At 44.7% G+C, this 25,453-nt stretch overlaps 1 protein-coding gene across 5 annotated transcripts in view; it reads right to left on the bottom strand.

Moving 5' to 3' along the window:
• The window catches only part of SPMIP11 (sperm microtubule inner protein 11), a 44,025-nt gene that overhangs the window by 18,349 nt on the left and 223 nt on the right, over window positions 1-25,453 (bottom strand). The window contains exon 2 of one of the 5 annotated variants that reach the window (NM_001351125.2): window positions 16,939-17,023. The exons of 2 other annotated variants lie outside the window; for them this stretch is intronic. In NM_001351125.2, coding sequence (NP_001338054.1) covers window positions 16,939-16,981 — 43 coding nt within the window. In that variant the 5' untranslated portion in view covers window positions 16,982-17,023. Of the gene's footprint in view, window positions 1-11,581; window positions 11,675-16,938; window positions 17,024-25,453 lie in introns of all 5 variants that reach the window. 2 more of the 5 variants (XM_024448926.2, XM_024448927.2) reach the window with 2 other exon arrangements.

Below are 25,453 nucleotides of genomic sequence, written 5' to 3'. Positions count from 1 at the left end.
CTGACACAAGATTTTCATACAACAAGGCAAGGAGTTTTCTCAAAGAAGGGCCAGATTAGAGGGAATTTGTCTAGAATAAAGAACAGGGCCCTCCTGGACCAAGAGGAGTGTCAGGTATGAAGCTAAGAATAAATAGGATGGCCTGGCACAGTGGCTTATGCCTGTAATCCCTGCACTTTGGGAGGCCAAGGTGGGTGGATCACCTGAGGTCGATAGTTCGAGACCAGCCTGGCCAACACGATGAAATCCCGTCTCTACTAAAATACAAAAAATTAGCTGGGTGTGGTCGCATGTGCCTGTAATCCCAGCTAGTCAGGAGGCTGAGGCAGGAGAATCGCTTGAACCCGGGAGGCGGAGGTTGCAGTGAGCCGAGATCGCCCCACTGTACTCCAGCCTGGGCAACAAGAGCAAAACTCTGTCAAAAAAAAAAAAAAAAAAAAAGAATAAATAGGAGAGCAAGGTTCAAAGCTGGTGTTGAGAGAGATTCAGCAAAGGAAAGGACTGATACAGGATTGTGCTTCCCTGGGCAGGACAGAAGGGAAAGCTTGGGCACTCAAGACTCCAGAGTAGAAGGTAAATGAACCCTGGAAGCTGGGCTGAATCTGCAGGAGCAACCAGTATTAGAAAGAGGAATGGTGAGCCTGGGAGGGACAGGAATCTCCCAACTGGTAGACATGAGAGTTCTGGTCACTGGTCGGGGTGCTCTTCTGTGGGTAGTGAGTTGACCAGCCTCTTTCAGGGCCTAGATGAAATATCCTTTGAAGCCAGCCAGCGTTTTTTGTACCTCAAGGAATCTTATGGTTAAAAATATTGTTTTCCAGGTATCCTATCCTGGCAAGTATGTCTTGAGTAGCGGACAAAGATATTCTAGCCACAGGAAAGGTATATGTTCTATATGTAAATAGTGAACTTACATATGATTTATAACTTTTCCTCCATCATCTGTTGTAAAGTTTTATGTGCTAGGTCTTAGGTACGTTACATACATTATTTTATTTAATGTCCACAATACACCTTTTTTTGTTTGTTTGTTTTTTTTTTTTTGAGGCAGAGTCTTGCTCTGTTGCCCAGGCTGGAGCACAGTGGCATGATCTGAGCTCACTGCAACCTCCGCCTCCCAGGTTCGAGAGATTCTCATGCCTCGGCCTCCCAAGTAGCTGGGATTACAGGCACCCGCTAACACATGTGGCTAATTTTTGTATTTTTAGTAGGGATGAAGTTTCACCATGTTGGCCAGGCTGGTCTTGAACTCCTGACCGCAGGTGATCTGCCTGTCTCGGCCTCCCAAAGTGCTGGGATTACAGGTGTGAGCCACCGCACCCGGCCTCTCCACAATAAGTCTCTACTTATTGTGCAGTCTCTACAATAAGTCTCTACAATAAGGCAGACATTATTGTCTCCATTTATAGGTGAGGAAACTGAGGCACTATGAATTTGCTTAGTGTGAGTTAGCCTCCTGAATTTGAACATCTTTGGATACTTGATAAACTGAGTTTCTTTTTGTTTTTGAGTCAGTCTCACTCTGTCACTAGGCTGGAATGCACTGGTGCAATCATGGCTCACTGCAGTCTCAACCTCCTGGGCTCAAGTGATCCTCCCACCTCAGCCTCCCAAGTACCTGGGACTACAGGCATGCGCCAATACACCTGACTAATTTTTTGTAGAGACAGGGTCCCACTGTATTGCCCAGGCTGGTCTCAGACCCCTGGGCTCAAGTGATCCTTTTGCCTAAGCCTCCCAAAGTGCTGGGATTACAGGTATGAGCCACTGCACCTGGCTTAAACTGAGTTTCTGAAGTCAAGGATAGACCAAAGTATGTTCCCCACATCCATTTGCCTCTTTGATTTTTCTATTTTGATTCTTTATCAGGAGGAAAAGGTAGGAAGGAGGCAGGGACTGGCAGAATGTTTGATTACACGTGTTGACTCACCTCTGTGAGTTTTCATTATGACTCTAATAAGGAAAGCTTGAGTGGGCCCTTTTGAGTTGAATGTTAATACACTCACACCCACTAGGAGGAAAAAAAAACCTATCGTTCTTCAAGGAAAAATTGTGAATGACTTAAAAATATCATGATAGTAACAGTGTTAAGAATGAAAAGTGTGACTATTAATAGGTTCATTTTTATAGTTGCTGTTAAAGGCCTAGCTAAGGGACCAGGCAAGGAATGTGGCTGATTTGAACCACAGAATGGTTGAAGTGCTAAAACCAGATGGACAGAAAGGTGTCAAGCAGTTTGAGTGAATGTATTAACAAGGTGAAATCAACCAGGAAGAAACTGGGACCAGGGAACCATTCTGGAGACAAATGAAAGTCTTTCAAGATTGTTTAGCTTGTGGAAAAGGGTGACTGGAGATTCAGGAACTGTGGGTTCCCTGAATTAATGGACATAGAATTTGGGATGAGAAAGACCAGGGTAAGCAAGGTAGATGTGGACTTGCTAGGAGACGAAGAGAATGCTGTATTTTACCCATAATCTCCCTGCCCCACGTTGTGAATTTCCCAAACCAGTTCTGAGGTAATAGAAAAGTAGGAGGCATGTTCCCCATGGTGGTCCATAAGGTCAAACCCTTCCCAGCCAGCCACATATTTCAAGCAACCTCAGCAGTAGCAGGATTCAGAACCATCTGAGCTCTGTTGCACTTTTCTGCCCATATGTTAAATAAAATGAGAACTAAGAGTTTACCATTTAACTTAGCAATATGTGAGTCATTGGTAAATGGATACAGCAGGGTTTTGTTTTGTTTTGTTTTTTAGAGAGAGAGAGTCTCATTCTGTTGCTCAGATTGGAATGCAGTGGTGTGATTATAGCTCAATGCATCCTCAATCTCCTGGGTTCAAGTAATCCTCTCTCCTCAGCCTCCCTGATGGCTGGGACTAAAGGTGCGTGCCACTATGCCCAGCCAATTTTTTTGATTTTTAGTAGAGATGAGGTCTCACTCTGTTGCCCAGGCTGGTCTAAAACTCCTAAACTCAAGCGATTTTCCTGCCTCGGCCTCCCAAAGTACTGGGATTACAGGCCTGGGCCACTGCACCCAGCCTGAAGCAGTTTTAATGGTGTGGTGATGGCAAGTGCCTGGGTTGGTGTGGGCTCAAGAGAGAATGGCAGATCCAGAGATAGGCTGGGCGTGGTGGCTCACGCCTGTAATCCCAGCACTTTGGGAGGCCGAGGCAGGCGGATCACGAGGTCAGGAGATCGAGACCATCCTGGCTAACACGGTGAAACCCCATCTCTACTAAAAATACAAAAACTTAGCTGGGCATGGTGGCGGGTGCCTGTAGTCCCAGCTACTCAGGAGGCTAAGGCAGTAGAATAGCATGAACCCGGGAGGCAGAGCTTGCAGTGAGCTGAGGTTGGGCCACTGCACTCCAGCCTGGGCAACAGGGCAAGACTCCATCTGGAAAAAAAAAAAAAGAAGAAGAAGAACCAGAGACAGAAAAAACAACTCTTTTTTTTTTTTTTTTTTTTTTTTTTGACACCGAGTTTCACTCTTGTTGCCCAGGCTGGAGTGCAATGGCATGATCTTGGCTCACCGAAAGCTCTGCCTCCTGGGTTCAAGCAATTCTCCTGCCTCCTGCCTCAGCCTCCTGAGTAGCTGGGATTACAGGCATACGCCACCATGCCCGGCTAATTTTTTATTTTTAGTACAGACAGAGTTTCCCCATTTTGGTCAGGTAGATCTTGAACTTCTGACCTCAAGTGATCCACCTGCCTCGGCCACCCAAAGTGCTGGGATTACAGGCATGAGCCACCGCGCCCAGCCAAAACAGACAACTCTTATGTCTACGGGGAACAGAGAAATAGGAAATGAGGGGTTTTAAGATGGAAGAAGATTTTTTTTTTTTTTTGAGACTGAGTCTCACTCTGTCACCCAGGCTGGAGTGCAGTGGCATGATCTCAGCCCACTGCAGCCTCTGCCTCCCAGGTTCAAGCGATTCTCCTGCCTCAGCCTCCCAAGTAGCTAGGACTACAGGCGTGCACCACCACGCCCAGCTAATTTTTGTATTTTTAGTAGAGATGGGGTTTCACCATGTTGGTCAGGTTGGTCTTGAACTCCTGGCCTCAAGTGATCCACCCGCCTTGGCCTCCCAAAGTGCTGGGATTACAGGTGTGAGCCACTGGGCTCAGCCAGAAGAGGAAATTATAGATGGACAAATTAATGCAAGAGTGAGAAGAATTATTGGAGTGGTGTTTTGGAGAAGGCAAAAAGAAATGGGATCTGGTCAAAAATGGAGGGGGTTTGTCTTAATAGGTGCGTGGGCCATTCATTCATGATAATAGGAGATATATGGGCACAGATGCAGGTAGATGGATAGATGTGGTTTGTGATAGCTTATGGAAATTATCTACCAATTGCTTCTGTTTTCTCTGTGAAATAGAAGGCAACTCATTATGTGAGAATGAGGATGGGGGAGGAGGTGTTGGAGGTTTGAAGAAACAGGAGAAGGTAGGAAAAGGCCTCCAGGAGACTAGGAGAGTGAATGGAACCAGGAAATGTAGTTTGACTTCTGGGCAGCGATAATCACTAAACTCAAGCGGACAACAAGACCCGCTTGAGTTTGGTGATCATGAATTTAAAGCAAGGGCAATTGGCATGCTTTTTTTTTTTTTTCTAGACCGTGAGTATAAACTTCTCTTTCCAGGAATTTTGATATAATCAGGATGGTAGTGGGGAGAGGAGGGTGGAGAAAGAAATGAGGGCAATAACTTGAGGGGACCACGTGGTCAAGGGAGGTTTCTTCCCTTGCCCTTCCCTTGCCAGATGAAAGAGATTATAGCATATTTGTATACTGATGGAAATGATCTGGAAAGAAGGAGAATCCTGAGGGAGAAGATGATAGTTTTAGGAGCAAAATCTTTGAGTAGATGAGAAGGGATGGGCTCCAGTACACAAAAGGAACCAGTTTATTCATTGAACCAGAGGGAATGGAGTGGAATGTTAAATGGGATGATGGAAAGTCTCTGATTCCTTCTAATTTTCTTAGTGAAATAAGGAGCAAGGAAGTTAGCTCAGAGTGAGAATGGGAGAGGGGCTTCAGAGATTCAAGGAGGGAGATGTGAAATAGTTGACTTGAGGATTGGGAGAGTGACTAGGGGAATATGATAGGATTGTCAGGCTGCCCTGAGTTCCCACTTGACATCTGTGGTTATGGTACTCATCACTCTAGGAAGACTAAACATCTTAGATAAAAGCCAAATACAGTCACCTTTGTCTCGACAGGTGTCTCTGGAGCACAACACTTTTCATGGCCTTATAATGAACTCCCAGAAGTCAGCCTATGTGTCTCACAGCTTGGCCATGTGAGCACAGACTTCAACTCTGGGGCAATTCAAGTGGCTTCAAGAAAATACTAGGAATAGAACAAAATTACCATTGAATGTAATTTTCAGGTGGAAGATTGAATGATATGGTTGAAGCAAAACTTGGCAGAGGGTAGCCAAACTTGGCAGAGGGTAGCCAAGTTGCCTGAATGTCTTTGTGAAAAGGATAGTGGCATTAGAAATACTATTCTATGGTTCCTTTTGTTATGAGATCATGGATGATGGGCACAGTGCATAGCTATGTTAGGGTCTGCACTATTAAAAAGGCTGTCAGAACTGGGAGATGAATTTCAAGGCTGGGATGCAATGAAAGCAGTCTGATCAAAGTGGGAGGTGGAGGTAACCTGCTACAGTTTTGGCTTTGAATTTTTTCTCAATTTTGAATCTGCTCTTATGAAGATGAAGCCCTAGGCTTAGCTCTATACATGACAAGCTCCTCATTCTTCAGGCTGTTGCTTAAACATTAATTCATTGAATTCTCTGTCTAAAGAGGGCCTCTTGTTGGGCATGGTGGCTCATGCCTGTAATCTCAGCATTTGAGGAGGATGAGGCAGGAGGATCACTTGAGCCCAGTTTAAGACCAGCCTGGGCAACATAAGGAGACCCTGCCTCTCCAAAAAAAAATAAAAAATAAAAGTTAAAAAAGTAAAGTAAAATAAAGTGGGCCTCTCCAAGTTACTCCTCATTACGGCACTTTCAAACTCAGTTGTCTGTAAGGGCCAGGCAGATAATGCTTATGAGTAAAGCAAGCTGGGTAAGAAAACTGTACCATCTGAAGGGGAAGCTGCTACTTTATTCTAGCTGTTTGTTGTCATTTACAGCCACAGTTTAGGGCCAGTGTGGCCAAATCTAATTTTTTTTTTTTTTGAGACAGAGTCTCACTTTGTTGCCCAACCTAAAGTGCAGTGGCACAAGGTCAGCTCACTGCAAACTCCGCCTCCCGGGTTCAAGTGATTCTCCTGCCTCAGCCCCCCGAGTAGCTGGGATTACAGGCATGCACCACCATGCCCAGCTAATTTTTGTATTTTCAGTAGAGACAGGGTTTCGCCATGTTGGCCAGGCTGGTCTTAAACTCCTGACCTCAGATGATCCACCCACCTTGGCCTTCCAAAGCGCTTGGATAGGCTGGGCATGGTGGCTCAAGCCTGTAATCCCAGCACTTTGGGAGGCCAAGGCAGGTGGATCACGGGGTCAGGGGTTCGAGATCAGCCTGACCAACATGGTGAAACCCCGTCCCTACTAAAAATACAAAAATTAGCTGGCCGTGGTGGCAGGCTCCTGTAATCCCAGCTACTTAGGAGGCTGAGGCAGAAGAATTGCTTGAACCTGGGAGGCGGAGGTTGCAGTGAGCCGAGATTGTGCCACTGCACTCCAGCCTGGGCAACAGAGCGAGACACCATCTCAAAAAAAAAAAAAAAAAAAAAAAAGGAATTATAGTGCTTGGATTACAGGTGTGAGCTATTGTGCCCGGCCCCCAAATCTAATTTTTAAAGAGAAGTCAGAAATGTTGGTTTTACATAAAATCTCTGGATTTTTAGATGTTGGTCTAAATTTTTTTTAAAAAAGCACTCTGCAAGCTGAGCATGTCATCAGGCTACATCTGGCCCCCAGGCCAGCAGTTTAGGACTTCTGTTCTATTGCATTGCCCCTTTATTTTCTCCCTAGCTCTGGGCACAATTTGTATCTTGTTTATTTATTTACTAGTTTTATTGTCTGTGTTAATCACTGTTGTATTTCCAGTGTCTTACACAGTGGCTGGCACAATCAATTCCCAATAAATAAATAATTGATGTTGGATTAGAGGGGGAGTCTGGCTTGGTGCTTTACTTAGAAGCTTTTTATATATTGTTAATATTATTGCATACATGATTTATACATACGAATATATAAGTATGTATGGGTTTATATATGTGAGTATATGTGCATGTAGATATACACCCATCTATATATGGCAAATATTTTCACTCAGTGTCTCTCTTGATTTTAACTTTATGATGTCTTTTGATACACAATTAAATAATTTTTTAGTAAAAACTGTCAGTATTTTCTTTTAGGCATCTGGGCTTAATGTCTAATAAAGAAAGATTTGCAAAACCCTGCTAAGAATATGCAAATATTCTATGTTTTCTTCTAATATTTCTGTAGTTTGATTTATTGAACTCTCTAATTCATCTGAAATTGATTGATTGAGACAAAGTCTTACTCTGTCACCCAGGCTGGGAGGTGCAATCTCGGCTCCCTGCAATATCCGCCTCCTGAGTTCAAGTGATTCTCCGGCCTCAGCCTCCCAAGTAGCTGGGCTATAGGCATGCACCACCAAGCCCAGCTAATTTTTTTGTATTTTTAGTAGAGACGGGGTTTCACCGTGTTGGTCAGGCTGGTCTCGAACTCCTGACCTCAAATGAACTGCCTGCCTCAGCCTCTGGAATTTATTTTTGTGTATGATGTGAGGTGAGGTGGGAGGTGTTTATTATGCTAAGAAACATCTTTTTATTCTCTTTTTTTTTTTTGAGATGGAGTCTCACACTGCCCCCCAGGCTGGAGTGCAGTGGTATGATCTCGGCTCACTGCAAGCTTGGCCTCCTGGGTTCAAGCCATTCTCCTACCTCAATCCCCCCAACCCCAAGTAGCTGGGACTACAGGCGCCCGCCACCAAGCCTGGCTAATTTTTTTGTATTTTTAGTAGAGACGGGGTTTCACCTTGTTAGCCAGGATGGTCTCCATCTCCTGACCTCGTGATCCACCCGCCTCGGCTTCCCAAAGTGCTGGGATTACAGGCGTGAGCCACCACGCCCGGCCTCTTTAATATATTTTTAAATTTGATCTGCCAGTGGGTTTGTTCATTTATATTTACATTGATCTATGGCTTCCTCTTTTGTACATCACCATTGCTGCTGCTGCTTCTTTTTCTTTCTTTTCTTTTCCTTTTCTTTCTGCTTTCTTCTTTTTTTCTTCTTCTTTCTTCTTCTTCTTCCTTTTTCTTCTTCTTTCCCCTCCTCCTCCCCCTCCTCTTCCTCTTCCTCCTCCTCCCCCATCTTCTTCTTCTTTATTATTATTATTATTATTTTGAGATGGAATCTCACTCTTGTCGCCCAGGCTAAAGTGCAGTGGCACGATCTTGGCTGACTGCAACCTCCGCCTCCCGGGTTCAAGCAATTCTCCTGAGTAGGTGGGATTACAGGTGTGTGCCACCATGCAGCTAAGTTTTGTATTTTTAGTAGAGATGGGGTTTCACAATGTTGGCCAGGCTGGCCTCAAACTCCTGAACTCAGGCAATCTGCCAACCTCAGCCTCCCAAAGTGCCAGGATTACAGGCATGAGCCACTGCACCTGGCCAGCCCACAAGTGCCCACAAGTCTTTTGTTTGTTTGTTTATTTTTGGAAAACAGAGTCTCACTCTGTCACCCAGGCTGTAGTACAGTGGCGTGATCTCAGCTCACTGCAATCTCTACCTCCTGGTTTCAAGCGATTCTCATGCCTCAGCCTCCCAAGTAGCTGGGATTACAGGCGTGTACCACACTTTTTTTTTTTTTTTTTTTGAGAGGTTGCTTCACTCTTGTTGCCCACGCTGGAGTGCAATGGCACGATCTCGGCTCACCACTGTCTCCACCTTCCAGGTTCAAGCGATTCTCCTGCCTCGGCCTCCTGAGTAGCTGGGATTACAGGCATGCTCCACCATGCCCGGCTATTTTTATATTTTTAGTAGAGATGGGGTTTCTCCATGTTGGTCAGGCTGGTCTCGAATTCCCAACCTCAGGTGATCGGCACTGCCTCGGCATCCCAAAGTGCTAGGATTACAGGTATGAGCCACCGTGCCTGGCCAATTTTTTTTTTTTTTTTTTTTTTTTTTTTTTGAGACGAAGTCTTGCTCTTGTTCCCCAGGCTGGAGTGCAAATGGCGCTGTCTCAGCTCACTGCAACCTCTACCTCCCGGGTTCAAGTGATTCTCCTGCCTCAGCCTCCTGAGTAGCTGGGATTACAGGCACCTGCCACCACGCCCAGCTAATTTTGTATTTTTAGTAGAGGTGCAGTTTTACCATGTTGGTCTTGAACTCCTGACCTCAGGCGATCCGCCCGCCTTGGCCTCCCAAAGTGCTGGGATTACAGGCGTGAGCCACAGCAGCTGGCTATTTTTTGTATTTTTAATAGAGATGGGATTTCACCATGTTGCCCAGGCTGGTCTTGAACTCCTGAGCTCAGGCAATCTGCCCGCCTTGGCCTCCCAAAGTGCCAGGATTATAGGTGTGAGCCACCATGGCCAGCCTCTCAAGTTTTAATTCATGCTTGCCAAAAGTGAGTTGTGATTCCCCTTCTCTCCCGACAATTTATGCTAGTTTTACCATGTACCTGCAATTTTGTAATTTAATGAAATAATATTTGATTGTTTGTTTTTAGTTTTAGGTTTTTTTGAGACAAGGTCTTGCTCTGCCACCCACATTGGATGGAGTGCAGTGGTGCCATCATGGCTCACTGCAGCCTTAATCTTCCCATCTCAGCCTCCCAAGTAGCTAGAACTACAGGTGCCTGCCACCACGCCTGACTTTTTTTTTTTTTTTTTAGTAGAGATGGGGTTTTGCCATGTTGGCCATGCTGATCTTGAACTCCTGACCTCAAGTAATTTGCCCACCTTCCCAAAGTGTTGGGATTACAGGCATGAGCCACCACGCCCAGCCTTATTTTTGTATTTTTAGTAGAGACAGGGTTTCTAGTAGAGACAGGCACCATGTTGCCCAGGCTGGTCTTGAACTCCTGGGCTCAAGCAATTGGCCCACCTCAGCCTCCAAAGTGCTGGGATTATAGGCGTGAGCCACTACACCCAGACAAATGAAATATTTGAACTGATGGAATATGTGTGGAGAAAAAGGGCTGTGGCTTTTCTTTTATTTTTATTTATTTATTTTTTTAAATGGAGTTTTGCTCTTGTTGCCCAGTCTGGAGTGCAATGGCAGGATCTTGGCTCACCGCAGCCTCTGCCTCCTGGGTTCAAGCGATCCTCCTGCCTCAGCCTCCTGAGTAGCTGGGATTACAGGCATGAGCCACCATGCCCGGCTAATTTTGTATTTTTAGTAGAGATGGGGTTTCTCCATGTTGGTCCAGCGCTGGTCTCGAACTCCTGACCTCAGGTGATCCACCCGCCTCGGCCTCCCAAAGTGCTGAGATTACAGGTGTGAGCCACTGCGCCTGGCCTGGCAGTGGCTTTTATAAAAATGAAGCTGAGGCCGGGCACGGGCCTGTAATCCTAGCACCTTGGGAGGCTGAGGTAGGCAGATCACGAGGTCAGGAGTTTGAGACCAGCCTGACCAACATGGTAAAACCCCGTCTCTACTGAAAATACAAAAATTAGCCGGGTGTGGTGGCAGGCGCCTGTTATCCCAGCTACTCAGGAGGCTGAGGCAGGAGGATCGCTTGAACCTGGGAGGTGGAGGTTGCGGTGAGCCGAGATCGTGCCGTTGTACTCCAGCCTTGGCGACAGAGTGAGACTCCGTCTCAAAAAAAAAAAAAAAAAAAAAGGAAAAGAAAAGAAAAATGAAGCTGAATGTTTTGGAAAAACTCAGAAAAGGTGGGTCACTTAAAAGCTGGGGGCTAGGTGAGGTGGCTTATGCCTGTAATCTGTGCTTGTACCAGGCAGAAGGATTGCTTGAGGCCAGGGGCTCGAGACCAACCTGGGCAACAAGTGAGACCCTGTGTCTACAAAAAATTTTTTTTAAAATTGTAGTAAACTTTGAGTTAAAATGGATTGGAGTTAGAAAATCACCATTTTGCAATTATCACAGAAATAACAGATTCACACAAAACCATCAATGGATACTAAAATCAGTGGGTGAAAGTTTGATGAAGAATAGGGTAGTTGGCTGGGTGCAATGGCTCACGCCTGTAATGCCACTACTTAGGGAGGCTGGGGCGGGAGAATCGCTTGAGCTCAGGAATTTGAATAGCCTGGACAACATAGCGAGACCTTGCCTCTACTAGAAATCAAAACAATTGGCTGGGTGTGGTGGTGTGCATCTGTAGTCCCAGCTACTTGGAAGGCTGAGGTTAGAGAATTGCTTGAGTCTGGAGGTCAAGGCAGTAAGCTGTGATTGTGCCACTGCACTCAAGCCTGAGCAACAGAGTGACACCTTGTAAAAAAAAAAAAAAAAAGAATACTTACATTTTTCCAAAGAATCTTATCAGAAATTATTGGTTACAAAAGAAGAATGGTAACTTGACAGTGAAGAAAACCAATAATTACACCTTTAGTGGTCAAAGTTCACATTACCAGTAATGGGACCAAATGACATCATGAGCCTCCCGATATGATGGACTGAAGATATAATGTCGCTTATTCCTGCCAAAGATGTTTAAACTCAATCTAATCATGAGAAACATCAGAAAAATCCAAATTATGGAATATTCTACACAATGTCTTGCCTATACTATTACAAAAATGTCAGTATTGGCCAGGCATGGTGGCTCATGCCTGTAATCCCAGCACTTTGGGAGGCTGTGGTGGGTGGATCACCTGAGGTTGGGAGTTTGAGACCAGCCTGACCAACATGGAGAAACCCCATCTCTACTAAAAATGCAAAATTAGCCAGGCCTGGTGGCACATGCCTGTAATTCTTGGGAGGCTGAGGCAGGAGAATCGCTTCAACCTGGACTGCATACGTTGTGGTGAGCCATTGTATGCCTGGGCAACAAGAGCAAAACTCCATCTCAAAAAAAAAAAAAAAAAAAAAGTCAATATCATGAAACGAAGGTGGAGGAACTATTCCAGATTAAAGGAGACTAAAGAGACACGCTCACTAAATGCAATGCTTGATCCTTAACTGGATCCTGGAAGGAAAAATTTTGCTCTAAAAGACATTAATGGCCAGTCTGGGCAACATAGCGAGACCTCATCTCTTTTATTTTTATTTTTTAAGATAGAGTCTCACTCTGTCACCCAGGCTGGAGTGCAGTGGCGTGATCTGGGCTCACAGCAACCTCCATCTCCCAGGTTCAAGCAATCCTCCCACCTCATTCTCCTGAGTAGCTAGCATTAGAGGCACCGGCCACCATGCCTGGCTAATTTTTGTATTTTTAGCAGAGACTGGGTTTCACCACGTTGGCCAGGCTGAGATCTCCTCTCTTAAAAAAAAAAAAAAAGTTGGCCAGGTGTGGTGGCTCATGCCTATAATTCCAGCACTTTGGGAGTCTGAGGTGGGAGAATCGCTTGAGTCCAGGAGCTCAAGGCTGCAGTAAACCATGATCACCTCAATGCATTGCAGCCTGGGAGACAGAGTGAGACCCTGTCTGAAAAAAAAAAAAAAAAAGAGAGACATTTATGAAACAATTGGCAAAACTGAGAAATGCACTGTAGGTAATTATATAACAGCATTGTATCAGTGTTAAGATTTGCTGAATTTGATACCTACATGGTGAGTTGTTGTTAGGAGATACAAGCTTATTTAGAGGGAAAGAGATATAATATGAGCAACTTATTCTCAACTATCTGAGAAAAAATAGATATTATAGTAGAGACAAAGCAAAAAAGAGAGTGGCAAAATTAACAATGAGTTAACTTGGGTAAAGGGTGTAGAGAAATTCTTTTTACAAGTCTTACACATTTTCTATAATTTTGAAGTTACATTAGCAAGAAAAGTTTTTTAAAATGGTAGATTGACCTTATTGGCTTTATTTCCTTTTCCTCCCAAATTTGCTAAAATGACATCATCATCATCATCATCACAATGATATTAACCTTCAAGGGCAAAGAGAGTGGTCAAGGATATAAGAGCATATGAGATATTTCAGTAGAAATATCTTTTGGAAAATGCAAAGTGGACAGAAGGGTGGCAATTAACCTAACAGAGTAAAGAATGTTGTTACCTAAGTTTCTGTAGTGGAGGATACATCTAGAATTGAGCTAATTCATCTGAGGAATCACAGGATTCACTGTGAAGGCTGGTGATATGGTTTGGATTTATGTCCCTACCCAAACCTCGTGTCGAATTGTAATCTCCAGTGTTGGAGGAGGGACCTGGTGGAAGGTGATTAGATCATGGGGTCAGATTTCCCACTTGCTGTTCTCGTGATAGTGAGTTCTCACAAGATCTAGTTGTTTAAAAGCGTATAGTACCACCCACCCACCCCTTCTCTCTTCTCTTTTTCTCCTACTTCATTCACGTAGGACATGCCTGCTTCCCCTTTGCCTGCCACCATGAGTGTAAGTTTCCTGAGGCTTCCCCGGCTATGCGTCCTGTACAGCCTGTAGAACCATGGGACAGTTAAACATCTTTTCTTTATAATTACTCAGTCTCAGGTAATTCTTTAAAGCAATGTGAGAACTGACTAATATAGCTGGCACAGGTATAGGACAGAAAATCTGGTGATTAAGTTAAAAAAGTCAGGATCCTCAAAATTAAGACCCTCAATACCTTCTTCTGTCCTAGCTGCAGCATGCTAGTAGATAAACATATAACCAATACCCAGAGAAGGAATAATAGGATTCTTCCCCAGAGAAATTATAGAGAGCCAGAGGAAAGCTCTGGAATGAAGCCCATAATGGACAACTCCCTCCATCAGCTTCTAGTTAGCTTTTTTTTGTTTCTTACCCTTAAATCAGAATGGAAAGCCAAGGATCACTAGTTATTTGAGGTGAGTAATCACTGAGAAAAACAGAGACCAAAATAAACTCATAGGAAAAAGGGCTCAGAGGGAAAAAGAGTCAATGCAAGGAAAAGAAGAGAATTTCAAATAAAGTATATATTCATGGAGAAAAGACAGAAAATATAACAAAGGAAAATCAGAGGACCAAAAATGGTCCTTGGAAATTAAAATATAATAACCAAGGTAAAATGTTCTTATCTTCTTCATGAAGAAAAAAAAGCAAAAAAAAAAAAGTTCTGATATGAAGGTGTGCTGGTTTTCACATATTTCCACAAATCCTTTGATATACCTCCCCTCAAGAAGTGGAGCTTAGTTCCCCTTCCCTTGGGTATGGGCTGGATTTAGTAATTCTCTTCTAACAAATAGAAAAAGTGAAGTGACAGTCACTTCTGAGACTAAGTCATAAAAATGCATTTTGTCTCCCTTCTTTCTGATCACTTGCTCTGAAGAAAGTTAGGTGCCATACGTGGTGGCGGGCGCCTGTAGTCCCAGCTACTCGGGAGGCTGAGGCAGGAGAATGGCATGAACCCCGGAGGCGGAGCTTGCAGTGAGCCAAGATCGCGCCACTGGACTCCAGCCTGGAGGACAGAGTGAGACTCCATCTCAAAAAAAAAAAAAGAAAAAAAAGAAAGAAAGTTAGGTGCCATATAAGAATACTCAAACAGCTTATGGAGAGGCCCATATGGTGAGAAACTGGGGTGTCTTGTCAATACCCACAGAGAAACTGGGGCCACCAGATATCCTGGAAATGGCTCCTTCAGCCCCCACCCAATCTCCAACCATTATATGGCTACAGCCCCTGCTGACATCCTGTCTGCAACCATGTGAGAGATTCTGAGCCAGAATTATCGAGATAAGTTGCTTCTGAATTAACAGAAACAGTAAAATAATAAATATTTGCTGTTATAAGCCTGTATATTTTAGGGTAATTTGTTATACAGCAATAGCTAAATAACACAAGGTTGCAAGATAAAATTAAGGAAGCCTTCCAAAGAATAAATAATAATAATGATGATGAAGATAAATAAAATTAAGCCAGACATGGTGGCTCACGCCTGTAATCCCAGCACTTTGGGAGGCCAAAGTGGGCAGATTGCTTGAGCTTAGGAGTTCAAGATCATCCTGGGCAACATAGGGAGACTCCGTTTGTACTAAAAAATACAAAAATTAGCCAGACATGGTAGCCTGCACCTGTAGTCCCAGCTACTCAGGGAGGCTGAGCTGGGAGCATCGCTTGAGCCTGGGAGGTTGGGGCTGCAATGAGCCATGATCGTTCCACTGCACTCCATCCTGGGTGACAGAGCAGGACCCTGTCTCAAAAATAGTGATTAATAATAATGATAATAATATCAAGATTAATGTTAGAAGATCAATTTGGGAGACTTTATAGCTGACAAATGGTAGTTTGAAAAAGAATAAAGGAAGCAATAAATTAAAAATTAAGGCTGGGCACGGTGGCTCACGCCTGTAATCCCAGCACTTTGGGAGGCCGAGGCGGGTGGATCACCTGAGGTAGGGAGTTCGAGACCAGCCTGGCCAACATGGAGAAACCCTGTCTCTACTAAAAATACAAATATCAGCCAGACATGGTTGCAGGTGCCTGTAATCCCAGCTACATGGGAGACTGAGTAACGAGAATCGCTTGAACCCAGGAGGCGGACATTGTTGTGAGCCGAGATCACGCCACTGCACTCCTGCCTGGGTGATAAGAGTGAGACTCCATCTCAAAAAAAAAAAAAAAATTAAAAATTAAAATAAAATTTCTCAGAAATGGAAAGCATAAATTTCCAGAATGAAAGAGCTCATGGAGTGTTCATAACAATGAATGAAAAAAGACTTACAATAAATTCCATCATTTTGAAATTTCAGAATACTACGGATCAAAAAGAAAATCAAAAGTTTCCAGAGACCGGGCGATGTGGCTCACGCCTGTAATCCTAGCACTTTGGGAGACTAAGGCAAGCAGATTGCTTGATTGCAGGAGTTTGAGACCAGCCTGGGCAACATGGCAAGACCCCATCTCTAGAAAAAATACAAAAAATTAGCCAGGCATGGTGGTGTGTGCCTGCAGTTCCAGCCACTAAGGAGGCTGAGGTGGGAGGATCGCTTGAGCCCAGGAGGCAGAGGTTGCAGTGAGCCAAGATTTTGCCACTGCACTCCAGCATGGGCGACAGAGCAAGACCCTATCTCAGAAAAAAAAAAAAGCTTCCAGAAAGAAATGAATTAGTTACATACAAAGGAATGTAACTGGAAGCTAGAGGACAATAAAAACATAGCTTCAAAATTTTCAGAGAATGATTTTCAACCTAGAATTCCCTATCTGGAAAAACTGTCAATCAAGTGTGAGGGTATAGAATAAGGCCATTCTGGACTCATAAACATACCTCCTATGCATTCTTATAAAGCTTCTTGGCATATTGCAGGAACAGGAGGGAGTAAGCCAAGAAAAAAAAAAAAACATGCGACCCAGGAAACAGGGAATACTACCTTGGAGAGAGGCAAAAGCAAGTCCCAGGACAATAATTATGCAACAGGCTTTGAGAATGAACAGTCTAGACTACAGTAGGATAGGCAGTTTGGGAAAAAATGGAACTGACAGATTGCTGTGTTTTGAGTGATTGAAAAAATATCATTGGGCTTTTGGCAGAGCTGTTGAAGTATTGGGGAAAGAAGTAACAATCAGTACATATAGAACCAACAAATGAAAACATGATGGCAATTCTTTTTTTTTTTTTTTTTTTTTTGAGACAGAGTCTCACTCTGTTGCCCAGGCTGGAGTGCAGTGGTGGGCAATCTCAGCTCACTGCAACCTCTGTCTCCCGGGCTTAAGCAATCCTCCCACCTCAGCCTCCAGAGTAGCTGGGACTACAGCCATGCATCACCACGCCTGGCTAATTTTCGTGTGTTTTTTTGCGGGGTAGAGACGAGGTTTCCCCATGTTGTTCATCCTGGTCTCTAATTCCTGGGCTCAAGGAATCCACTCACCTCGGGCTTCCAAAGTCCTGGGATTACAGGCGTGAGCTACCATGGAGGCCAGGAATTCTTAACTCTAGGGATAAACAAAAAGTTTCTAGGGATAGGAAAAATGAAAGGAAAAGTTACAGTGACATTATTTGGCTTAGCAGTGAAACTTTTTTACATAGTTGTAAGACTACAAGACTACTGATTTAATATCATATTAGTTTTCTATTGCTGCATCACAAATTATAAATTTAGTGACTGAAAACATCTATTTTATTTTGTTTTATTTCTTAATTATTATTATTATTATTTTGAGAGGGAGTCTCCCTTTGACAACCAGGCTGGAGTGCAATGGCATGATCTTGGCTCACTACAACCTCCACCTCCCGGGTTCAAGCAATTCTCCTGCCTCAGCCTCCCAAGTAGCTGGGATTACAGGCATGTGTCACCACGCCTGGCTAATTTTTGTATTTTTAGTAGAGACGGGATTTAGCCATGTTGATCAGGCTGGTCTCAGGTGATCCACCCTCCTTGGCCTCCCAAAGTGCTGGGATTACAGGTGTGAGCCACCATGCCCAGCCTTATTGATTTGTATTTATTTATTTATTTTTGAGATGGAGTTTTGATCTTGTTGCCTAGGCTGGAGTGCAATGGTGCAATATCAGCTCACTGCAACCTCTGCTTCCTGGGTTCAAGTGATTCTCCTGCCTCAGCCTCCTGAGTAGCTGGTATTACAGGCACCTGCCACCTTAGTAGAGAGGGTGTTTCACCATGTTGACCAGGCTGGTCTCAAACTCTTGACCTCAGGTGATCTGCCCACCTCGGCCTCCCGAAGAGTTGGGATTACAGGTGTGAGCCACTGTGCCCGGCCTGAAAACAACATCTATTTATAATCTCACAGTTCTGTAGGTCGGAAGGCTGGACTGGCTTGACTGAGTTCTCTGCTTAGAGTATCACAAAGCTGAAATCAAGGTTGGCTGGGCTAGGGTCTTATCTAGAGACTGTAGAGAAGAATCTACTTCCAGGCTCATTCAGGTTGTTGGCAGAATTTAGCTCCTGGTGGTTATAGGACTGATGCCTTGCTGGCTCTCAGCCAGGGGCCACTCTCAGCTCCTAAAGGCCGCTTGCATTCCTTGACATGTGGCCCCCTCCTTCCTCCTCCTCCTCCTCTTCTTTTTTTTTTTTTTTTTTTTGAGACAGAGTCTTGCTTTTTCGCCCAGGCTGGAGTGCAGTGGCGCTACTCGGCTCACTGCAAGCTCTGCCTCCCAGGTTCATGCCATTCTCCTGCCTCAGCCTCCCGAGTAGCTGGGACTACAGCCGCCCGCCACCGCACCTGGCTAATTTTTTTTGTATTTTTAGTAGAGACAGGGTTTCACCATGTTAGCCAGGATGGTCTCGATCTGCTGACCTCAAGTGATCTGCCCGCCTTGGCCTCCCAAAGTGCTGGGATTACAGGCGTGAGCCACTGCGCCTGGCCAAACTCTCTGCTTTTAAAGAGTTTATGTGATTAGATAAAGCTCATTCAGATACTCTCCCTCATTCCATATAAATTAACAATCACAGAGTGGTATCTCAGTTTTTCAGAGGTTCTACCCACACTCAAAAGGGAGGTGATTACACACAGGCAAGATTTATTGAGGATAATTCTTAGAATTCTGCCTATCTTGAACCTAAAATTATGATATACCTATACTGGAAAAAGGGTGGGGGATGGAAAGTGTGTGGTATAAGAAAGCTAAATTCTTAGCTGTCGTAATGGGAAGGCAATATATAAAACCCAGAATGAAGCTGGGCACAGTGGCTTGCTCCTGTAATCCCAGAACTTTGGGAGGATGGGGCGGGAGGATTCCTTGAGGCCAGGAGTTGGTAACCAGCCTGGGCAACATAGTGGGATCCCGTCTTTACAAAAAAATTAGCAGGGTGGGGCTCTGCTTAGAGTATCACAATACCTGTACTCCTAACTATTCAGGAAACTGAAGTGGGAGGATCACTTAAGCCCAGGAGTTTGAGGCTGCAGTAAGCTATAATAGTGTCATTGCACTCTAGCCTGGGTGACAGAGCAAGACCCTGTCTCTAAACAAACAAAAAACACCCAAAATGGATAAATAAATATACATCACATAGGCTGGGCGGGGGATGGCTCACGTCTGTAATCCCAGCACTTTGGGAGGCCGAGGCAGGCGGATCACTTGAGGCCAGGAGTTCGAGACCAGCCTGGCCAACATGGTGAAACCCTGTCTCTACTAAAAAATATAAAAATTAGACAGGTGTGGTGGCATGTGCCTGTAGTACCAGCTACTCGGGAGGCTGAGGCAGGAGAATCGCTTGAACCTGGGAGGTGGAGGTTGCAGTGAGCGGAGACTGAGCCCCTGCACTCCAGCCTGGCGACAGAGTGAGACACTCCATCTCAAAAAAAAAAAAAAAAAAAAAAAGAATCTGCATTTACACATACAGTAGTCCCCTCTTATCCTTGGTATACATTCCAGACATTCCAAGACTCCCAGAGGATACTTGAAACTTCAGATGATACCAAACTCTATATACACTATATATTTTTTCCAAGCAGTAACAGGTGGATAGTGAATATGCTAGACAAGGGGATGATTCTCTTCCCAAGTGGGATTTTCCCAAGTGCAAAATTTCATCACTCTACTCAGAAGGGCATACAATGTAAAATTTGTAAATTGTTTACTTTGGGAATTTTCCATTTAATATTTTTGGATCACAGTCAACCATGAAAAATGGAAACCTTGGAAGACAAAACCATGAATAGGGAGGGACTACTATATTAAGTCAAAGTAAAATTTAAAGTTCACTATGTGAGCTGGGCTTGGTGGCTCACACCTGTAACCCCAGCACTTTGGGAGGCCGAGGTGGGAGGATCACTTGAGGTCAGGAGTTTGAGACCAGCCTGGCCAACATGGTGAAACCTCACCTCTACTAAAAATACAAAAATTAGCCAAGTGGCGTGGCAGGTGCCTGTAATACCAGCTACTCGGGAGGCTGAGGCAGGAGAATTGTTTGAAACTGGGAGGCAGAGGTTGCAGTGAGCCCAGATTGCACCACTGCACTCCAGCCTGGGCGAAAGAGCGAGACTCAGTCTAAAAAAAAAAAAAAAAAAAAAGATTAACTTGTGGATCAAGAGAAGACATACACTGAACTTTTCTTTTTTGAGATGGAGTTTTGCTCTTGTTGCCCAGGCTGGAGTGCAATGGCACGGTCTCGGCTCACCACAACCTCAGCCTCCCAGGTTCAAGCCATTCTCATGCCTCAGCCTCCTGAGTAGCTTTGGCCTCCCAAAGTGCTGGGATTACAGGAGTGAGCCACCGCTCCCAGCCACAATTTAATCTTTTAAAAAATTAACTCACAAACGATTAGACTGTGATGAGTCTACTGTAATTACATTCAACTTTCTTTTTTTTTTTTCAGATGGAGTTTTGCTCTTGTTGCCCAGGCTGGAGTGCAATGGTACAATCTAGGCTCATTGCAACCTCCACCTCCTGGGTTCAAGCGATTCTCCTGCCTCAGCCTCCCGAGTAGCTGAGATTACAGGCGTCCGTCACCACACCCAGCTAATTTTTGTATTTTTAGTAGAGACGGGGTTTCACCATGTTGGCCAGGATGGTCTCGAACTCCTGACCTCAGGAGATCTGCCCGCCTCGGCCTCCCAAAGTGCTGGGATTACAGGTATGAGCCACCGTGCCAGGCCTCAACTTTCATCATATAGTATTTGTTAATTGATCCAAGCTTGCTAGCTTGATGCCTAGTAGCAAGATTATGCCAGGGGTGTGTAGTTGGTAGGAATTTGTAGGTGCTGATTAGGTGAGCCAGACCCCAGCAACAAATTGGTCATATTTAGTTCAAGATACCTCTCAGAAGGATGGGATTAGTGGTAACTGGTTGCTATGTCAAATGGTGATTTCACTAAATTCTTGTCCCAGAAGGAAAATTCCTATTTTCTTTGGAAGAATATGTTTGAACTCCTATATTGAGTTTTCAACAATAACTCCAATGGGGTTTGAGGGGCTTTTATGTTTTTTTTTTTTTTTTGAGACAATCTTACTCTATCGCCCAGGCTGGAGTGCAGTGGCGCAATCTCAGCTCGTTGCAACCTCCACCTCCCAGGTTCAAGAGATTCTCGTGCCTCAGCCTCCAGAGTAGCTAGGATTACAGGTGTGTGCCACCACCCCTGGCTAATTTTTGTATTTTTAGTAGAGACGCGGTTTTGCCATATTGGTAAGGCTGGTCTTGAATTCCTGGCCTCTAGTGATCTGCCCGCATCAGCCTCCCAAAGTGGTGGGATTACAGTTGTGAGCCATTGCGCCTGGCCAAAGTTTGAGTTTTAAACACAGGAAACAAATCAAACTATTGTTTTGGTATTTGCATATAGTAGTTGGACTATATGATTCTCTGACGTGCATGCAGATGTGTGTGTATGTAAGAGAGAGAGGGAGAGAGATGAGGGGTCAGAAAGAACACATCCAGTTACTCTTTATCTTGCAGAACACTATTCTGAAGTTGTAGAATGTTGTTAACTCTCAGGAAGTTACCCAGGGGTTATGGGATGAGGCTGCAAGGTTTTGACTCTATACAGTAGTTAAGTCAACAATTCTGGCCATTAGCAAAGTTACCATTTAGCGCCAGTGAATGGTGAGCTCCTAAGAACCACTTGCTGGGGAGAAGTGAATAATTCTTTTTTTTTTTTTGAGATGGAGTCTCGCTCTGTCGCCCAGGCTGGAGGGCAGTGGCGCAATCTCGGCTCACTGCAAGCTCCGCCTCCCGGGTTCACGCCATTCTCCTGCCTCAGCCTCCCCAGCAGCTGGGACTACAGGCACATGCTGCCACACCTGGCTAATTTTTGTATTTTTAATAGAGACGGGGTTTCTCTGTGTTAGCCAGGATGGTATCGATCTCCTGACCTCATGATCCGCCCACGTTGGCCTTCCAAAGTGCTGGGATTACAGGCGTGAGCCACCGTGCCCGGCCGTGAGTAATTCTTTATGAAAGCCCAACTGACATTTGAATTCAGGGTTTGGGGGTTAACAGATTCACCTAGAAAGGCTGACCATCAATCATTTGTACAGTGGCCTGCTTACAGGAAAAAGACCTGCATCATTTGTCCTCATAAATAATGTGTTTAAGAGCACAGACAGATAAGTTAGACAATTTGGAATCAAATTCTGGCTCTATTGCTGTGGTCTTGCATAAGTAAGTTAACCTCTTTGAACCTCAGTTTTCTTTTCTTTTTTTGGGGGGCGGGGACAGAGTTTTGCTTTTGTCACCCAGGCTGGAGTGCAATGATGCGATCACGCCTCACTGCAACCTCTGCCTCCTGGGTTCAAGCAATTCTCCTGCCTCAGCCTCCCGAGTAACTGGGATTACAGGCATGTGCCACTACGCCTGGCTAATTTTTGTATTTTTAGTAGAGGTGGAGTTTCACCACGTTGGCCAGGCTGGTCTCGAACTCCTGACCTCAGGTGATCCACCCGCCTCGGCCTCCCAAAGTGCTGGGATTACAGGCGTGAGCCACCATGCCCGGCCTGAGCCTCAGTTTTCTTACTGATAAAAAGGGAACAGTAATACCTACTTCACAGGAATGTTAGAGTATTAAATGAAATTAAGCATGTAGCGTGCTTAGTACAGTGCCTGGTATACTGCATAATAAGTAGTTGTTTATTATAAAGTGCTTGAGCCAACAAAAGTATGGATTAATTAGAAACTGGCAAGTTGAAATCCTTTGTCCATATTTTGCGAGAGTAACTGGAGGGTATAAAATTGGGGTGGAGGGGAAGCAAGCAGGGAGTAGGGGTGGCATATTTGATGTTCAATCTTCCCTCCAACCTTACATTCCACAGGTTTGGCCAAACCTCCTGCCTCTGATTTTCTGTCACCAGAATGAGAAAACTTAGATAGTAGATGATATCGGGATACTTCTCCGTCATCCCACAGAGGGCTCTGATTTTTATAAAGTAAAATCTTCCACTTTGTCTAGCCTATAAAGAAATGATGCCCAGGCCTCTTTGGATCAGTATCAAGTCTTGTTCAACAGTGCTTAAGTAGCTAACTGGGTAGGACAATTGGTCGGCTGTACACTCAGTTTCTTCATGGTGAGAGAATTCTATCTAGTAGGGGTAGGTAGGATTGGAGCAGCCAGGAGAGGCTTAATCTTGGCCTGGAAAAAGGGAAATTTGTAGGTTTCTCAAAGAGTTTGTTTTTCTGAAAGAGGGTAGAGAAGAGCTCCTCTTTATTTGGAGATAAAAACAGTCCCATGGCATAATGCTGGGACCCAGTTGGGGTTGGGAGGGGAAGGGCTTGTATAAGGATATTAAGGAGTCTCTAAGGTCCATCAGGGGTACCCTTTGTACAAATCTTGCCTGGAAGCTGGATAGTAAAACAGAACTTCTTTGATGGAATTGCAGAGGACAGAGAATGACCAATGGAGGCCTGTGTAAGATTGTTCTTTACAATCTTTTTTTTTTTTTTTTTTTTAGACGGAGTCTTGCTCTGTTGCCAGGCTGAAGTGCAGTGGCGCGATCTCGGCTCACTGCAACCTCTGCCTCCCGGGTTCAAGCGATTCTCCTGCCTCAGCCTCCTGGGTCACTGGGATTACAGGCATGCACCGCCATGCCCAGCTAATTTTTTTTTGTATTTTATTTTTTTTTTGAGATGGAGTCTCACTCTGTTACCTAGGCTGGAGTGCAGTGGCTCAATCTCAGCTCACTGCAACCTCCACTTCCTGGGTTCAAGCAATTCTCCTGCCTCAGCCTCCTAAGTAGCTGGGGTTACAGGCACACACCACCACGCCCGGCTATTTTTTGTATTTTTAGTAGAGACGGGGTTTCACTATGTTGGTCAGGCTGGTCTCGAACTCCTGACCTTGTGATCTGCCCATCTCGGCCTCCCAAAGTGCTGGGATTACAGGCGTGAGCCACCGCGCCCGGCTCTTTTTTTGTATTTTTAGTAGAGATGGGGTTTCACCATGTTGGCCAGGATGGTCTTGATCTCTTGACTTCATGATCTGCCCGCCTCAGTCTCTCAAAGTGCTGGGATTACAGGCGTGAGCCGCAGTGCCCGGCAACAATTCATCTTTTAAGATGTAAATCAATTGTCATATCTCCTGTAAAGCCTCCCCTAGCTTCCTGTTTTACAGTTATTCAAACTTAGTTATTCATCCATTCACCCTACAAATATTTATGCAACCTCTATTATGTGTGAGGCATGGCTAGGCATTTTGAATCTAATGTAGATCTGCTCACTGCCTACTAAAAATTCAATGGCTGTCTATAAAGTTAAAATGCTTAGCATGGCTAACAGCATCCTCAATTATCTGGCCCCTTCCTAGTTTTCAACGTCTGCCTCCCAGCACCTCTCCACTTTACCCTTTATGTGTACCCACGAACTTGGAATTCACTTAATATGGTTCTCTCTTAGGTCTCTGTTCCTTTGTCTGTGCTATATCCCCTTCTTTTTTTTTTTTTTTTTTTTTTTTGAGACAGAGTCTCGCTCTGTCGCCCAGGCTGGAGTGCAGTGGCTCGATTTCAGCTCACTGCAAGCTCCGCCTCCCGGGTTCACACCATTCTCCTGCCTCAGCCTCCCAAGTAGCTGGGACTACAGGCGCCCGCCATCACGCTCGGCTAATTGTTTGTATTTTTAGTAGAGACGGGGTTTCACCGTGTTAGCCAGGATGGTCTTGATCTCCTGACCTCGTGATCCGCCCGCCTCGGCCTCCCAAAGTGTTGGGATTACAGGCGTGAGCCACCGCACCCGGCCATCCCCTTTTTAGTGAACGCCAATCATCCTTTAACACCCAGTTCTGGAAGCATTTCCTGTGTGAAGTCTTCTCTGAAGGATTCCCCCATCCTCCACTCCCCCGTTCTTATTCCAAATCCAATAGTATCAGGTACTTCCTTCTTAGTGGCTCTAGAACATTCCATATTTAATGTAATCATACAATATATTGCAATTTTTGTTTGCACACTTATCTTTCTCATCAGATAGTCACTTTATAGCAGAGGTCTTAACCCTAGTCACCAACATAATGCCAGGCACATAAAGCCTGGTGCTTAACAAATGTTGGTTAAATGAGCCAACGAATGACTAAGAATACACTTATTTGGTTGAACAAATTGTGTGTCTTTTTTTTTTTTTGAGATGGTTTCGCTCTGTCGCCCAGGCTGGAGTACGGTGGTGTGATCATGGCTCACTTCATCCTTGACCTCCTGGGCTCAAGTGATTCTCCCACTTCAGCCTCCCAAGTAGCTAGGACCACAGGCATGCACCACCACACCCAGCTAATTTGTGTAACTTTTCATAGAGATGTGGTCTTACTATGTTGCCCAGGCTGGTCTTGAACTCCTGGACTCAAGCAATCCTCCTGCCTTAGCCTCCCAAACTGCTGGAATTGCATGTGAGCTACTGCACCTGGCCCAAATTGTGTGTCTTAATAAGGATATTAAATGACAGGAGAGCAAAGCTGAAAGGATATTGTCCCTATTCCACAATTTTAACTAGTGTAACTGTTGGCCTTGGAGGATAAATC

This window comes from Homo sapiens, chromosome 12, assembly GCF_000001405.40.
Source record: "Homo sapiens chromosome 12, GRCh38.p14 Primary Assembly".
NCBI classification, from domain to species: Eukaryota; Metazoa; Chordata; class Mammalia; order Primates; family Hominidae; genus Homo; species Homo sapiens.
This window is presented reverse-complemented; position numbering and strand designations above follow the sequence as displayed.